This window comes from Homo sapiens, chromosome 2, assembly GCF_000001405.40.
Source record: "Homo sapiens chromosome 2, GRCh38.p14 Primary Assembly".
Classification (NCBI taxonomy): Eukaryota; Metazoa; Chordata; class Mammalia; order Primates; family Hominidae; genus Homo; species Homo sapiens.
In genome coordinates, this window is record NC_000002.12 from 215,400,743 (window position 1) to 215,418,741 (window position 17,999).

The following is a 17,999-nucleotide window of genomic DNA, read 5'->3' on the forward strand; positions in this document are numbered from 1 at the left end:
CTCCATCTCAAAAAAAAAAAAAAAAAAAAAAAAGAAAGAAAATAAAATTTTACTTAAACAATTTTTTTTTTGAGATGGACTCTTGCTCTGTCACCCAGGCTGGAGTGCAGTGGCGCAATCTCATCTCACTGTAACCTCAGCCTCCTGGGTTCAAGTGATTCTCCTGCCTCAGACTCCCAAGTAGCTGGGACTACAGTTGCCCACCACCACATCCAGCTAATTTTTGTATTTTTAGTAAAGATGGGGTTTCACTATGTTGGCCAGGCCAGTCTCGAACTCCTGACCTTAGGTGATCTACCCACCTCGGCCTCCCAAAGTGCTGGAATTACAGGCATGAGCCATCACACCTGGCCAAAAAAAAAAAAAATCTTATTTTTAAATAAAAGATTTGTTTTGGGTTTTAGCACCAAAAATAAGAAAGAAAGAAAGAGAGAGAGAGTGAGAGAGAAAGAAAGAAAAGAAAGAAAGAAAGAAAGAAAGAAAGAAAGAAAGAAAGAAAGAAAGAAAGGAAGAAAGAAAGGAAGGAAAGGAAAGGAAAGGAAGAAAAGAGAGAGAGAGAAAGGAAGGAAGGAAGGAAAGAGAAAGAAAGAAAGGGAAAGGAAAGGAAAGAAAAAGAAAGAAAGAGGCATGTATATATAAAGTTAAGATAGAGATTTCCAACAACCTTGCAAATCTTATTATAAATGTAGAAAGGTAAGATCGCAGAAGGCCAGATATTTTGAGTTGGGTAAGTTTAAGTTCAAGGGTATCAAGTGTGTTCATAGCTCTGGTCACATGTTTGACATCTCCACAATTCTTCCTCTCTTTACATCTCAATCAAATTTTGTTCCCATTGGGAAAAAACCTCTGAATGCATTTATACTAAATTATGAATGGCTGGCAAGACAAAGAATTAGTCTCCAGAGTTATACAAACAGGGATTAAAAAGTGTTCAGACTCCAGTCTCAACTCAACTCCAGTCAATTTTTTTTTCTTTGCCATGTGGGAATTTAGAATCAACATCGCAATTCTCGCATTTTTTTTTCAGTCTGGATTCTAAGGAGCCATTTTTTATTTTTATTTTAAAAATATTGTGTGAGAAAAAGCCAAATATATGTGTGGGCCACTTCATAATGATAGCTCTAATGGCTGAATTGAGGTACTACTGGTTTAGTGGGCTGTTTCATCTATGTATGTTATTATTTTGATGGTGTTTGGTGGGGGGTGGGGGGACATGACTGGGATGGGTGACCCGATGCCTTTTAGTACCTCTGAAATTATACACCACTTGACTGCTGGTGACTGTGCCAAAATGCCATGGCCAGCCCTGTGTGACCATTTTTAATGGCCCACAAAAAACAATTCAGAGAACAGTCAGTTTCTTTCACTGAACATCTGTGAAAACCACAACTTTTTTTACAAATTATATTCGCCTCAACTGTCCTGGGCTTTAAGACTAGGTATTTTCTATTGCTTGAGCCAGCCACCTAGAGTCTTCCCAAGTTTAAGATGATGCTCTCTGCCTGGGAAGGCCATTATGGGAAAATCACCAAACCACAAACCCACAAACGATGTCAAACAAAGGATGTGATTCTAAGTGTGAGCTATGGGTTCTGGCAGGTCTTGTTAGGGAAGAACAGCCCAGCTGTTAAAGAAATAAAATTTGCCCTATCAATATAAGACTAAGCTGAATTTTCCCCAGAAACAGCTTTTTCCCCTAACTTTTCTCACATTTGCTCTTAAGAATTTAGCACAAGTTATAAAACTCAGAAAAGTTACTCCCAGAATTCAGCTTAGTAAGATAGTAAAAAACTACAGAAATTTAGTAATTTCAAAAACATGCAAGCCTTGTGGATGTTTACAGCCTTAGGGAGTGCTTAAAGTTCAAATGGAGTTGTAGAATACCCTGCTTACATTAGTTTATTTAAATATAAGCTTCATTTAGCTGTTTTTATTATTATTCCTTTCTCAATTATCTATTCACCAAATAGTTTTTGAAAGCATACAATGTTCCAGACACTATGTTAACCTTTATCTAATAAAATTAGTTTTGGCTATCAGTACTTCAGTTAAAATCATTATATTTTATATGAATGTATTATGCAAAGCATAAAATAATATATCCAATATATCAGTCTTCAGAAGTACTTGAAATATCTTGGCCCACCACCTTCCCTTAATTATTGTTAGCATCATTAAAAATGCTTTTTCTTTTATAAGCACTGTGTTCAACAAAAGAAACTACATAAAATATGTCTCATGTTAAGGAATGAACAAGACAACTATAGAATTCTACATTTTAGTAAAAGACGACATCTACTGAAAGGGCGCATTCACTGAAATCTCCATTCTAATTCACTGAAGGACATTTATAAGAAATGAATATTTACAAGAAATATAAAGACATTAATTTCATGAGAGTAGATCTTAGACTATCTTAGAACCGTGTAAAATTTTAGCCAAATTTTCAAGTAAGCTTATTTGCAAATTAAAAGTGAATTTTACTTGCTTACGATTAACTATTATTTAGGAAAAAGCCTTCATGAGCCAAACTTCATACAGTAAATTTAAATGGAAGTAAGTTTTTCTTAAAGTATGAATTCTTATGGGGAAAAGTTTGTATTTTCTTTGGGAAATCAATTCCATAGTTATTTACAAACTAGGCTTGTATGGACTTTTTGAATGCTTTTTAACATCCATACTTTTAAATTAGTCGAAGAGTAACATTTGTTGAAAGCTCTTAGAAAATTGCAAACTAGTCCATGGTTAGAATATATGCTGAAAAAGTACTTATGTTAGGTGCTTCTATAATTCAAAATGTCGAGTTGAAAATAACAAATGATGTTCAGCTAGAAATAAGGAGTCTCATAATTCTCTGTAATGTAAATGGAAATGTATTTAATAGGAATCGGTTTGTGAATAGAGGTTGTTATTGTGATGTAGATATGTGGGAGATTTAAGACCACTTCCTTTAAAATGTTGAGCAAAAGGATAGACATGACCAAAAATTATTGTTAGTATTTTTCTCCTCTGAGGAATTTCAAGAGTAATTTAAGAAAAGAGCGATTCCGTCTGCAAAAGTACTTTAATCTTCTGCAGCCAACACTCATAAAGAAATCATTTCCTTGGCTTCATGTTCAATTAGTTGGTTCCCATTCAATCCATAGATATTTTTATTCTGCATTTATAGTTACTATTCAATGCCCAAAGTAATAGAATGTAGACATAGGTGCTAATTTTTTCTTGCGTTAACTAGTGTTTGGTAAATTCATTTAATGTAATCGAATTTAATTTTTCTAATAACAGACTGCTTTAAACCCATGTTACTCAAAGTGCTGGCCCTAGAGGAAAGAGCGAGCTTGGCAATGTGTGCAAATTAACACACTGCTTCCTTCATCAAGAAAATCTGGCTTCAGAAAAATTCTCAGCTGTACTAAGCAGTGTGCTTTGTGATTTACGTTCTGGCACAACCGTTTTTCTTGTTGCAGACTAGCAGCAAACAATTAACGGGCCAGCAGCCAGTCTATGGAGCACATTTTTAGTATCACTGATTTAAATTATGTACTAATTTTTTAATGTTTTTTTTGTTTTGTTTTGTTTTGTTTTAAAGCATGAAGAATAGAGAATGTAAATATAGTTAAGAAAAGGCACTTAATTTTCAGCTTACGTGTGGTAAAGACTCCAGTGGCTTTGGGGCTCTCTTGGTTGCCCTTTATGGCCACGAGGGATACGGTGTACTCAGATGCAGGCTGCAGATTCCTCAGTGGGTACTTGGAGACAGAGGGACCCACATTGTACTGCCTGGGCTGTCCTCTTCGGGTAAGGCCCACGGTCAGTCGGTATCCTGTTATCTGGGCCCGAGGTGGAGTCCATCTCACCAGGACAGTAGAATCAGTTTCATTGACAAACTGGAGGTTAGTGGGAGCATCCAGTTCTAGGAAAAAAGATGAAACATGCCAAGAAATATTTAGATCAGTAATGATCATAACTCAAGTCCTGAAACTTGATTGAATGTCTAAGTTTTCTCTCCTCAAGGTTGTAACTATGTGAAAGTCAAAACCCTGGAAAAACTGAGCCAGTAAGAGATTGAGTGCTACACAAAACTTTGCCAAAACTCTGCCAGTCATGAGAAATTGTGGAACCATTTTGCTTGACTGTGATCCTTTGGGAAGTCTAATTTTCCAGCAAGACTTTCGCATCAGTCTCAGAAATTATAGTTACATTAAAGCAATGGTATTTTTAAAAAGGCAAAACAAACACTTCTGAAGTTCACAGTTAGCTCTGAGCCAAACAGATTAAGGAAAAAGGGATATGCCTCCTAAAATGACAGCAAGAAGAAGCTCTCTATGGGTCAAAAGCAATATTCTGTGAATAGCCCTTTGCTAGAGAAATAAAAGTTATTTTCACATGGTTCAGATTAGACAGTAATTACAGTAATGATAACGTATCCTCAGATTCATGGTAGGATACTGGTGAGTTTGCACTATCAGAATCACATAAGTTGTGGAGTTTATTCTTGAGAATAATAACCAGCAGTTTTCCCACCGAAATTTAAATTACCTTTCAAATAGAGGAAATCTTTAAGAGGCAGTCGAGTATAATAATTGAGAGCATGGGCTTCGGACATAGGTTATAGAGCCAGCTCTATCCCTTCCTATCTCTGTGACCCTACAAGTTGCAGAACTTTTTTAAAGCCTCAGTTTCTTTAAGTATTCAATACGGATACTAGTAAGACCTTCCGGCTGGGCACGATGGCTCACGCCTGTAATCCCAGCACTTTGGGAGGCCAAAGTGGGTGGATCACTTGAGGTCAGGAGTTTCAGACCAGCTTGGCCAACACAGCGAAACCCATTTCTACTAAAAACACAAAAATTAGCAGGGCATGGTGGCACACGCCTGTAGTCCCAGCTACTCGGGAGGCTGAGGCAGGAGAATTGCTTGAACCCAGGTGGTAGAGGTTCCAGTGAGCTGAGATGGTGCCACTGTACTCCAGCCCTGGCGACAGAGCGAGACTCCATCTCAAAAAAATAAATAAATAAAATAATAATAATAAGACCTTCCTTCCTAAGGTCAAAACAAAGAGTAAATATGAGAATAATGCTTGTAAAAACTGAGCAGATAAGCTGGTGGCTAGTAATACTAGACACTTGACAATTGCTATTGTTAAATGAATTCTACTCTAAGTGTTATGATCCTGCATTTTAACTTTGATCTAGATATATTTAGTTACACGAAAAATGCACTCAAATTAGATTCTCTTCAGTTCTCCCCTCTTAGTACCCTTCAGCTGGTACATGTATTTTAGAAATGGGTTACCACTTAGCATCCATGGAGCTTGTCTGAGTTTTGTTTTCAAGTTTAATGTGCTTTGTGTTCACTATGCATTCCCTTGCCGGCTGGGTATTTCCCTCTCTCTAAGCCATACACCTCTGAGTGAATGGTTTACTGCACTTTCTCACAGGCTGCAAGTGAGGGTGGAGAATTTGGAGGGGAGATAGAGATAGGAGAAGACATACTGGTTGTCTGTTGAGCAGTCAGAGGCTTGCTCTCCCTCCCATGGCTCACTGCAAAGACTTTGAAGTAATAGGTGACCCCAGGGGACAGCCCGGTGACTTCTGCAAAGGTGTTCCTGCTGATGGGCAGCCTCTGCCCGTGCTCGCCAGGCAGGTTGACGGGGATCACATCCACACGGTAGCCGGTCACTGCACTCTCAGGCGGTGTCCACATGATGGTGACCTTCACGTCTGTCACTTCCACAAACTGCAGGTCCCTGGGAGAGGGCACTGTATCTGACAGACAAGAGTCAACTGGTCATTCACATTCTCTGCTGAAGATTACTTTTAAGAAGCCAGTTTCTTGGATATGTTAGGCAGTTCATTGAGCCTCTCATTCGAGAGTTTTGCTAAGTTTTGTCTCTTAATCAGATCACATTTTCATGGTCCAGTCATAGTGCTTAAATTATGACATTTGAACCTTTTATCTAAAATAGGTAATAAGTGAGTTACCAGCATATGAAGTGTCATATGGTGGTGGGGGGAGAGGGTTATAAGAAAAGATACTAAAAAATTTTTTAGAAAAAGCCTTTGAAATAACTGCAGAAAATAATGTAACAGTTTTTGTTTTACTGAATCATTTTATAATACTTAAGAATCAAAAATGAAATGACCCTTAAGCTTCTAGGGGAAAATTTGTAGATGGACGTTATGGTGTCAGTTTTTAATCAGAAAGGCCAGTAGCCAGCTTTGATAAGTTACTTATGACATTTCAGCTAAATATCAGAAGTTTAGGGAAAAACTAATATATAAGATTTCTTGAATGAGAGGACTGTTGACAGAGACAAAACAACCCTCCTTCAGGAACAATCCTGATAAGATAACATAGGAAGTGTCTTCTTAAAAAAGTTACCTGAGCGTGGGGTGCCAGTGGTTTCTTGTTGAATGACAACAGGTGTACTTTCTTGATTTTCTTCCACAGCATAGATAGTGATGTTATACTGAACACCAGGTTGCAAGTCACTGAGGGTGACGGAGTTTGCAGTTTCAGGAAGGTTGAGTTCTGTGCTGCTACCTTCTACTGATGGCGAATAGACTATTCTGTACCCTGCAGATTCATGAGCAAAAGTAAGATGCACTGTTTTCTTTGAGACAGAGGCTTAGAAACACCATAAATCCTCCCTTTTCTAATATCCCTTAGCATCTTGCTTGATTAGTGAAGAGCCAGTGATACTTTTTGACTCTTTGAATATTGCCACTTCTTCTAATAATGACTATTCAGCACGAAGATAAAATAAGAACAGTCATGCGAACCTTTTTAATAATAAATGTCATCCTTGAAGACCTGACATCCTTAATAAATGTCAATTAGAGATGCCATTAGGTGAAAATATTCATGTTAAGCTGATTTTTCCTCTTTGAGCTCCAGACGAGGGAAGCAATTAATGAACCAGCCTAAGCAGAGTTGTCTAGCACTGTGTGTGTCTTTTTGGAACTTCAGTGATGAGGCAGTTGAATCACCTAATGAGCTAAGACGACAGCTCAGCTTTCTCCTTAAGGATAAATCTTAGAGCAACGTTTTCAGGAAATTACACCTCTTCAACCCTGGGAACACTTGCTTTAATAAGCCAATGAGCTGGCTTTACAGGTTGTGTGTATGTTGTGGTGTGTGTGTATAAGGGAGTTGGTGAAATGGTTTCAAGGGGAAATGTGCCATAGAAAATAACTCCCCCACCCCCGCCACACACACACACACACACACACACAAACCCCTCTCCCATAAATTATATTGGAGATTTAAAGTGATATGCAGGTCCGCAGTCAGAATCTGCGCCCTCCCTGCTGATGTCATTAAGATTAACATAGCAGCCAAAGAGGGGGACGCTTAGCTGACCTGTGATGGGAGCCTGGGGTCTGCTCCAGCGAACAACAATTGAGGTGTCATCAACTTGGTCCACAGTCGTGTCAGGAGGGGCATCAGGCGCTAAGAAAGAAAGAAAGTGGGGCAAACAGTCAGGAAGTGCTACTACAGGCCTGTGTTTTACAGAAAAAGATTCTTTTAACACTATGTAGCACACATGTACCTGTTGTTTGTGAAGTAGACAGGATCAAACTCTGCTCCCCATCCTCAGATATCTGATAGACATTTACAATGTATTTTCGGCCAGGAAGCAGGTCAGGGATGTTCACAGAAGTGGCTGTGCTTGGAAGATCTTTGAAATGAAAAGAAAAGGTAACTAATCAGAGCAAACTAGTCCCTCAAATGACTCTACAGCTTATAAGAAGGATATTTTAAGAATTATATATTCATAGGGAAAAGCGACTAGAAGGTAATGTGCTAATAGCTAATCAGTGATTATTATTATTATTTTTACACAGAGTCTTGCTGTGTTGCCCAGGCTGGAGTGCAGTGGCACAATTTCAGCTCACTGCATCCTCTACCTTTCCGGTTCAAGCAATTCTTCTGCCTCGGCCTCCCGAGTAGCTGGGATTACAGGTGCACACCACCACACCCGGCTATTTTTTTTGCATTTTTATTAGAGATGGAGGTTCACCATGTTGGCCAGGCTGATCTCGAACTCCTGGCCTCAAGTGATCCACCAGCCTCAGCTTCCCGAAGTGCTGAGATTATAGGAGTTAGCCACCGCACCCACCTAATCTGTGATTATTAATGTACTATGGGAAAACACCACTTCTTGTCTTTCTCCTTTCTCCTCCTCCTCCTTCTTCCTTTCATTTTTCCAACTTTTTTTCTAAAGACGTATAATTTTTGTAATCGAATGCCAAATTTTTAAAAATAGCTCTCTGCAGTAAGAGTCAGGGTAGTGATTATTGGCGGAAGATGATGGGGTGAGGGTAGAGAGATATTCTTTTCCTTGATCTGGGTGCTGGTCTTGTGGTGTGTTCACTTTATAAGAATTCAAATTCACTGAACTCAGTGCTTACGATGGCACACACTTCAGTGCGCCAATGAAGTTTTTTAAAGGCCCCTCACCATAACAATTTGAAAAGTATGAGTGACCGTACTGTGCTCACATTGTCAGCTGCAGTCCTGGTAATTACTTCCACCAAGAACACAGCTTTTGCTGTAGGAACTTGTGCACAGGTAGGCGCATGATGCAGCTGGCATCAGGGACCAGGAACATGTGACAGTGGCTTGGGAAAAACCCGGCCACTTCTTAGAAAGAGTCAGTCCTTCCCTTCCTCATGCCAGAGGGTGGTTTGTTCAGTCTGAGCTGTCAACCAGTTCCAAACCACAGATACCACCTGCCTAGAGGCCACCCACCCCCACAAGGAGAGTTTTCCAGCAGCTGCCCTGAACCTGTCTTGAGCGACATATTGAGCTTACCCAGGTACTGTGGCTCATCTCCCTCCTCACTCAGCTCATATTCCACCCGGAATCCCGACACGGTGTCGGAAGCTGAGACCCAGGAGACCACAAAGCTACTGGCTGTGATTTCGGTCACAGATTCAGAAGTGGCCACAAGAGGAGAAAAGGGAGTCGTCTCTCCTGTCACGGTGTTGCCTAGAGAGTCACAGAAAGGGGAAAGTCAGCCTTCAGTCATCTAGAAAATTTACCGTCCTCGTCGCCAACATCATTTTAAAAAACGTTGGTGCCCCTCCTGGAAGAATATGAATTGAGAAGGAAAGCATTGCCTCAGGAGAGCCTAGCTCTAGGAACCTCGGGGGTAGGAGGCATGAGGGTGGTTGTGTACATACTGGTCACAGGTGTGCTGGTGCTGGTGGTGGTGAAGTCAAAGCGAGTCACTTCTTGGTGGCCGTACTGCTGGATGCTGATGAGCTGGCCCTCGTATACCACACCAGGCTTCAGGCCTTTGATGGTGTAGGAGTTTAAGTGGCCTGGTATGGTAGCTTCCTTCCAACGGCCTACAGAATTTTTCTGAAAATTTAAATTAACACACACACACACACACACACGTGTTTACAAGGATGAACATTTGAAGATGATGTTCAGTAATCTTCAAAGAAAAATGACTTAAGCAGGACTTAGGCAGCTCCATTCTAGAGGAAAATCATGGAAAACTGGATTCCCAATGGTTATATCGTTAGATATAGTTAGATATAATGCTAACTATTGTTAACATCAACAAACTGCTGCAGTTTACTTACTGATACCCATACTCTGTGCTGTTTACCTACATTCTCCCATTTAGTCTCCATATCCTTCTGATGATAAGGCAATGGCATTGTTGCTCCCGTTTTACAGACGGAAAAACAGAGTGATATGTGATATGCCCGGGGTGACATAGTTGCAGACACTGGGCACCTTCACTTTTTTTTTTTTTTTTTGAGACAGAGTTTTGCTCTTGTTGCCCAGGCTAGAGTGCAGTGGCTCAATCTCAGCTCACTGCAAACTCCACCTCCCAGGTTTAAGCGCTTCTCCTGCCTCAGCCTCCCGAGTAGCTGGGATTAGAGGCGTGTGCCACCATGCCTGGCTAATTTTATATTTTTAGTAGAGATGGGGTTTCTCCATGTTGGTCAGGCTGGTCTCGAACTCCCGACCTCAGGTGATCCACCCGCCTCGGACTCCCAAAGTGCTGGGATTACAAGCGTGAGCCACCACGCCCACCCACACCTTCACTTTTACCAAGTTAATTGTGTTATATCAGTAACATAATATGATGAACCTAAGCTTTGCCTCTCTCACTTATTTTTTATTCCTACCACAAACAGATATATTCCTCTCTGAAGTACAGAAATGCCAATGCCATATATTTTATCTTTTAACTCAGTGGGATACAATTCAAGTTTCTTGTCCTGAAAAAACAAAGGCAGAATGTTGCTTTGTGACTCATCATATACCAGGTTCAACGAGTCTGGTTTTGTGACTCATTCTTGGATATGAGCTACCCCATCAGAAGTGGTTACCCAATTTTGGACAAGACTACAGAAAAAATGCAATTTTGGTTTATTTAATCTTTTGCTTCCAGTTTATATTTCACATCCTGTTCAGCTTCATTAATATGCCATGGGTCACAAAACTCAGTGCAATAAAATGTGTATGAAAGAAACACCCTTCAGAAAAGATGAGACTCTTTCAAGTGTAAATACTCTAAACTAATATAAGTCAAAATATATTTTTTGTGCCCAGTGATTTTTAAAAATTACCCAGTCAACCATTTCCTCAATAATTCAAATACTCAAGTGTCCATTTATATTTTTGGAATAAGCGAGAGTGATCGTAGTACTCTTCACAGTGAAATTTTAACTCAAATACACTGTGGAAAATTTTGAAACCAGTCATTGCAATTAGCTCAAATTTAGTAATCATTTTTCAACATGAGCTTGTTTGGTTAGTTATTACAAGAAAATAACAGAAAATAAAGTCTCAGGTGGCATCCATTAGAAAAAACCCTGAATTTTTGTAATTGTTAAAAATCTCAAAAAATTCATCACTGCTGCTTTTTGAAGACTTTCCAATTCAATGTACTTTTTTTTTTTTTTTTTTGAGATGGAGTTTCGCTCTTGTTGCCCAGGCTGGAGTGCAGTGGCGTGATCCTGGCTCACTGCAACCTCCGCCTTCTGGTTTCAAGCGATTCTCCTGCCTCAGCTTCCCGAGTAGCTGGGATTACAGGTATGCGCCACCATGCCCAGCTAATTTTTTTGTATTTTTAATAGAGACGGGGTTTCACCATGTTGGCCAGGATGCTCTCGATCTCTTGACCTCGTGATCCGCCCACCTTGGCCTCCCAAAGTGCTGGGATTACAGGCGTGAGCCACTGCGCCTGGCCCAAAGTACATTTTATACCACTTTTAAGTCTCCCATTGCAATGGTCTCACATAATACTTTGGATATCCTTAATTTTAAAGTAAATAAAATTAATGATGTAATAAGAAGATGAGAGACTAGAAGATATTGGATGCACTGATGCTGTTGATTTCGATCACTGGACATCAAGTTCTGCAAATGGCCAGATTATGGACATAGGGTGAAAGAAGAAAAAGAATGACTTTTCTTTTTTTTTTTTTCATTCACCATTTGTTAAGCAGTGTGCCAGGTGCTGAAGCATTCTAGACTCTACGGAGACTACATTGAGCCAATGAGAAAGACACGATTCCCCTCTTTAAGGGAATCTGTTTCCATTTTCTATTATTCTGGTCTTGCCTCCATGTAGACAACATGCTTACACCTCTATTTGTTTCATTTGTCAACAATAAGTCATATTTACAGAGTCTTTAATATGAGACTTGATGATTTATTTATATATTTATTTATGTTGACACAGGGTCTTTCTCTGTCTCCCAGGCTGGAGTGCAGTAGTGCCATCTTGGCTCACTGCAACTTCCGCCTCTCAAGCTCAAGCGATCCTTCCGCCTCAGCCTCCCAAGTAGCTGGGACTACAGGTGCATGCTACCATGCCCGGCTAATTTTTAGCCACTGTGCCCAGACAAAGTTGAGGATTTAGCTCAATAATACCACCCTTTCCTTCCAGAATCTTGGACATTCCCAGTGTCTGACATTTGTATCATTATATTTGTTCTTCTTGTGTTTATATTTGTAATTTAAAGTATTATATTAAGTATCTTTTTTTTTTTTTTTTTTTTTTACTTCATCAGCTTTTGGTACCATCTCTCAATTCTCTATTTTGAAAGATAAAGCTGTTATCTCCTCTCTTCTCCACCTTCCATATCCACCATTTTTCATGTAAATGTTTACTTTTTATTTTGTCTTGAAGTTGCAACCAAGTTTCCATGACACATCTATAGACCGATCGCATCATGCATTAGAAATACATTCTTTTCAATGAGTCTAACATCATGACTGCTGGGTGGATCAAAGTTTCCAGAATCAAGGTTCAATGGAATTATTCCTCTTTGTTTTTATACCTTAATATTGCTGCATTTTAGTTTGCTTCGTATAGGAATTATTGCCTTATAATACACTTGGGGGTTTTTTGAAACAGAATCTCGCTCTGTTGCCCAGGCTAGGGTGCAATGGCGCGATCTTGGCTCAACTCCCTGCAACCTTTGCCTCCTGGGTTCAAGTGATTCTCCTACCTCAGCTCCTGAGGAGCTGGGACTACAGGCGTGCGCCCCCAAGCCTGGCTAATTTTTGTATTTTTAGTAGAGACGGGGTTTCGCCATGTTGGCCAAGCTGGTCTCGAACTCCTGACCTCAGGTAATCTGCCCGGCTTGGCCTCCCAAAGTGCTGGGATTACAGGTGTGAGCCACTCTACCCAGCCACATTTGGGTTTATTATACATTCCTCCACCTGATTGTCATGTTGTTATTTTAACTGCATTATTTGCCCCTGTGATTAATTATCCACAAGCCTACTTTTTCCATGAAGTCCCTTTTTATTCTTGGAGACCTCAATCCCTGATCCCTCAATCCCATCCTCATCTTTCTGTTCCATCTGTATTGGCTGTCCTCTAAGCCAGCTACGCAGTTGTTGCATTGCAAAGTTTTCCACCTCTATCAGGGGTCTGATTTGGAAGCACTGTTTGCTGGACCCCACAACTTCCTTCATATTTCACTCTTGTTTTTCTGGAGTGTATCTACAAATACCCTTAAAGAAAAGGATATATGGAAGATAAACTGCCTAAAATCTGTCTGAAAATATTATTTTGCCCTCATATTTGATTGATAACCTGGCTGAGTATAGAAGACTTTAAAAGTTTCTTTTTATCCTTGGAACTCTGACACATCAAAGATGCGTCTAGACGTGGTTCTTTCCACTAATTTTCTGGGCACCTAGGAGGCCCTTTTAAATCTGAAAAATTCTGTCCCTCCACTTTAGAAATTTAGAAAAAGAATAATTTTAACAGCTTAAATTTTTCCTGAAGAGTTTAAATTTAACCGCCTGGGTTGGTCAAATTTTGTTTGTTTGTTTCTTTGTAATTGTAGAATTCAATAGCTATGATTTAAAATGGACATTTTTTTCTCCTGTGTTTAAAACAGTGTTTCTCAAATTATGAGCCATGAACTTTGGAGTTAAACAGGGCAGGCTTGAGAGAGTAAGAGAAACTAAAGCTAAATTGACCAATATCCTCCTTATTTGGTTTCTTCAATTTCTAGTCACTTCTCATTAGGAAATCACAGGGCTATTGTTTAAATAAAACCAACTTCCATCCTTTATCTAAACTTCCCTCCCATCATCTCTTTTCCTTCTATCTAAATAAATTCAGTGGGTCAAAAGTAAAGTTTTAAAAATGATCACTTAAAAAGTGAATCAAAAAAGAAATATATTAATTTGGCTTTTTTTTTCAAATTATGAAAATGATGCCAGTAATTTTCCTTTGATGAGGTTGCAAGACATATAAAAACCTTAGATTCTCTTCCCACATTGGGCAAGAACAATCTTAAGCATTATCATTTCTAAGTCCTTGCAAAAAAGATTTCTGTAACATAAAGAGCTAAATTCTTCCAAATACCAGCCCCCCCACCGCAAAAAAACAAAACCCAAAACCAAAACCAAAATCCCCTCAGTCTACAAGTCAATTTAATTGACCACATATTGTTTGTTCACTAAACAAATATAGTAAATGCTATAGGAATAGTTAATCAGAGTTGTTGGCTCAAAAGCTGGGAAAAAAAGAAACCATCAGAATTGATAAGATTAGGAGACTCAGTATCCAAGGTTTCTGGGTGGGATACTCACAGGTCTCCACCTGAGAATGTACTTGGAAATGTGAGATGGCTGTGGTGCATTCCACTGGATGGGGTGGGAGTTGGGCTGACTCGGAGTCTCAGTGATAAATACTTCGACAGGACCACTTGAGCCTGAAAATGAAAATGTAGCATTTAATTATCTTGAATATTCACTCACTTCAACTTAAAACTGTGTACATGGACAGTCATCATTATAAACAGCTTTGCTTGTCGTTAAATGTGAGTATAATAAAATTATCTGGCATTAATCTTTTAAATATTTACGTTGAAAATCAATGCAGCAAATCCATTTTTAGCCGATAATTATTATTCTTCACATGAGAAATGCAAATCATAGTTGTTTATAGCAAATAAAATATATTTTTAAAAAAAAGTCTCTTGGCTTGCTTTTATTTTCTCTACTATCAAAGTAAGAATTGTGAGAAAATTGTGAAACGATCCTACAAAAATAATGTAATACAGAACACAGACTTCATTTACTTATTGTATTGAGCCTCTTTTAAAGCAAATTCTAATTTTGGAAGGTTTTCATCAAGAATGAATCTACTACCTAAGAAGGAAACAACATTCCAAAGGCCATATGAGATGATGTAAAACAAACACATTTCTAAATGGGGGTAGAATCTTAGACAAATAGCAAAGGTAATAATTAAAGACCTAGTTTTATTTCTCATCAGTCTAAGCAGTCTATCAGTTTGGAAAAAACATCAAGTTTTATTTTTATTCAAGAAGTTTACTCCCAAATCACACCATTGATCCATCAAATTATTAAGTGATTAAATTTATTTTTTTTCCAAAATCAGTTGTCAACAGAAATGACTTTATGAAGTGTATACTAAATTCAGTATTTCTACACCTTGATGTATATCACTGTTATCAACAAAATTTAAAGTATGGTTTTGGTTCTTTTGTTTAAAATAAAAGGAAAATAAGGGAAGTAGCATCAATTTCTAAGTAGTGTTAACTCCATTTAAGATAATAATGAAATAGCTAGAAAATTTATGCTTGCAGAACAGAAAACTATCTTTTCTTAAAACACTATCTTTATGATGTCAGTCAATGTTTAAATTACTAGAAATAAAAATTGTGTCTTATAGTAACCTTTTCAAGAATTTCTAACTGACACTCTGTCAAACAGAGCAAAATTTTGTATGTGTAATAAAGCACTTCACCAGATTATTAACAGATTTAAGTTTTCTGAAAGCTTCTAGGAAAAAAAATACATTGATTTTCAAACTTTATTATCTAAGCCATTAAATTCTCTTGGAAAACAAAGCTTTCTGTAGCAGAAAAAATATATAACTTGGATATCCATGTAGATTCAGAAATTCTAAAACAATATGCTCACTTCCACACCAGTAACAATTCAAAGTTGGTTGAAGATTAGCAAATACTTTGAATCTTAATTCCATTTAATGCACATATTTCCAAGCCACATGAACACCAAAATTCATGCATAAAATTATGAGTTTTTCATTTTAAAGTTGTATGTATTTCACAGAACACACAGGATGTTTGTTTTAATCAATTGGCATAAGTCAATTCCATGCCTATCTTTGAATTACCCCTTCTGTTTATGAAGATCCTTACAAATGTAAACACATTTTTAAAGACAACTATTCAAGAAAAATTTTGGAGATGTGACTATTTAACGTACTTCCATGTAAATCAGGAAAGCTAGGAATATCATGTCCTTAATTATTTATGATAATTGGCATAGGGCTATTTAAATATTGATCCTTTAAATAAATCCTACTACAATTTCCTCCATAAAGAGACACCTGATATACACTTTATTTAGTCTTGTCAATCATGATTTTGAGGGGGGACAAGCTTATGATGGATAAATGTCTATTAAGTTTTGAAAAGATAACATAAATGACCTTTACTGTTCACCTCTAAGCCTAATCATATTTCTATGTCCACAAGGACACAAGGAGGAGGATAAAAATGGGCAGGGAAAGGAAAGAAAAAGGGTACAGCAGTGGTTTTTACTCAAGCCAAAGTGGAGTACAACTACAGAGGTCCCTTTTGCTTTCATAAGATTTCGAGCACTGGTGTGAAATTCCACGTTTTAAAATCTAGCCCTGTGGCATAGCCCACCTTTAAAGGAAATGGACTGAACAGCATGGAATTTAGCATGTTTTTGTTCAGGAAGTAAAGAGACTTTGTGTCAGTTATTTCTTAGATCAATTAAATTCCTATATTCTAGCTTATACTACGTATAATTACTCTAGCTTATACTATGTATCCTTTAAAGACAGAAAAGTTAAAAATTATGACATCTTTTACATTATTTAGATTTAAACTTTTGACAGTCCTTTTTCGCTACTGGTAGTTGGTATAACTTTTTAAATTAACTTAATTGGCATATACTAGCTATCGCCATTGTGAAATCTTTACTCCCTCTCTTATTCAATATGAATAAACTAACAATAAAATAGTTGAGATGATACCAAAAAAAGGAGATAGTACAATGTCTACACTTTTAAAATTAGTTTCAAATAAAGTCTAAATGAATAATTTCCAATAGTAGTGTCCTTGGAGAAGTTAAACATTTATGATTTTTTGACTCAGTCCTTTTTTTCTCTATTTATTTTGCTGAGATCTGTGCTTTTCTAGTTGCTTATTGACAAACCAAATGCCTCTTATCTTTTGCTAGTTTGAACAACTCTACCAAGTTCTCTGTAGGAGGAACAAACAAGGCAGGACTCAGAGACAATCTGTTGGTAATCTGCTGTTCCCTTATTCTCACCACACTCTTAAAGCCCTACGTGCTAGGCCACGGAGCAAACCAGACATACAGATAAGCACCAAAGAGCATATCTGAGGTCAAATTCCAATCTCTTCCCTCCGAAATCACCTCTATGCTCAGTGGGATCTTGCTGTTCTCCTTTTTAAAGAGTAGGAGTAAGGTCAACATGTAATACTCCAATACTCAAGGATTCCTTCCTTTCCAGATTTTATCTCCAACATGTCCACCTAAATGCTTCCAGCAAGCAGCTATGTGGACAGCCTTATGTTGAGAGAGACGAAGATCTCTCTCAATCATTCAGAAGGAAATCATTTTCAGCAAATTGCAACACCAATAACAATCATAAATATAGAAACCACAGAGCATTTTTTTAGAAGTTTCTACCATTTAAGTATCATTTGCATCATATAAACAAACAAACCATTCATATACTTATAGTACTTCCACAATCAGATTTAAATATATATTAAGTTACAAAAAATTAAGTGATTCCTACACCTAAATCCTCCAAGAAATACAATTTAGGAGGTTGGTCAATCTGTGCTATAAGCCTTCAAAAGTGAAGTCACCTTCCCCAGCACTGACAGTGTCTGAGGGTTGGGAAAAGCAGAATCTTCCAAGTTCCTAGAAAAGGTGCATCTGGGTGTTTAGTATTTAGGATGGAACATTAAAGGTAATCAGCTACAATCTTCCCATATTACAGATGAGGAAATGGAGGAATGAGGCTTGGCTAACACTACCTTTGGCCAAGTTGTTCCCATAGCTTGTTCTCTGTCACAGTGAATCTTTTATCACAGAGTTAATCTTAATTTCTGTCGCATGCAGATTCTGACACCCTGAAACTCTTTTGTTTCTGAATGTAGGCCATATTTTCAGTCAAACGTTAGTGAAGACTTTGGAGACTTTGCACCTCAGCAGTTGCTCAAATAACTGATGCCTTTTAATTAGCCTTTCATGTTTTATTAACATGTTTTATTATAATCACTCAGTGAATATTTAAATGCAATTTTCCCCCCAAATGAACTAATTACACCTACAGCTAGGCATGATGTCTTTGTGACCTGGAAAAACCCAGCAATAAACATTTGAGAGTGTTTGAACTGTGTGGGCAGAGAGTTGACCAAGTTACTCAACCCTTG

At 38.1% G+C, this 17,999-nt stretch overlaps 1 protein-coding gene across 18 annotated transcripts in view, besides 1 other annotated feature; it reads right to left on the minus strand.

Annotated features, from left to right (window-relative positions):
- Positions 1-17,999, minus strand: part of FN1 (fibronectin 1) — a 75,204-nt gene that overhangs the window by 39,878 nt on the left and 17,327 nt on the right. For 17 of the 18 annotated variants that reach the window (NM_212474.3, NM_001306132.2, NM_001365523.2 and 14 more), the window contains exons 13-20: positions 14,095-14,216; positions 9,192-9,372; positions 8,821-8,997; positions 7,556-7,684; positions 7,366-7,455; positions 6,385-6,579; positions 5,496-5,768; positions 3,647-3,913 (exon numbers count right to left, since the gene is read on the minus strand). In NM_212474.3, the coding sequence (NP_997639.2) occupies positions 3,647-3,913; positions 5,496-5,768; positions 6,385-6,579; positions 7,366-7,455; positions 7,556-7,684; positions 8,821-8,997; positions 9,192-9,372; positions 14,095-14,216 (1,434 nt within the window). Of the gene's footprint in view, positions 1-3,646; positions 3,914-5,495; positions 5,769-6,384; positions 6,580-7,365; positions 7,456-7,555; positions 7,685-8,820; positions 8,998-9,191; positions 9,373-13,913; positions 14,217-17,999 lie in introns of those variants that run through there. The other variant, NM_054034.3, reaches the window with a different exon arrangement.
- Positions 10,144-10,438: a silencer, noted in NCBI's record as "tiled region #14446; HepG2 Repressive non-DNase unmatched - State 17:Gen3'". NCBI's record gives its function as "represses a minimal TATA promoter and a strong SV40 promoter by Sharpr-MPRA in HepG2 cells {active_cell/tissue: HepG2}" and the evidence as "EXISTENCE:reporter gene assay evidence [ECO:0000049][PMID:27701403]".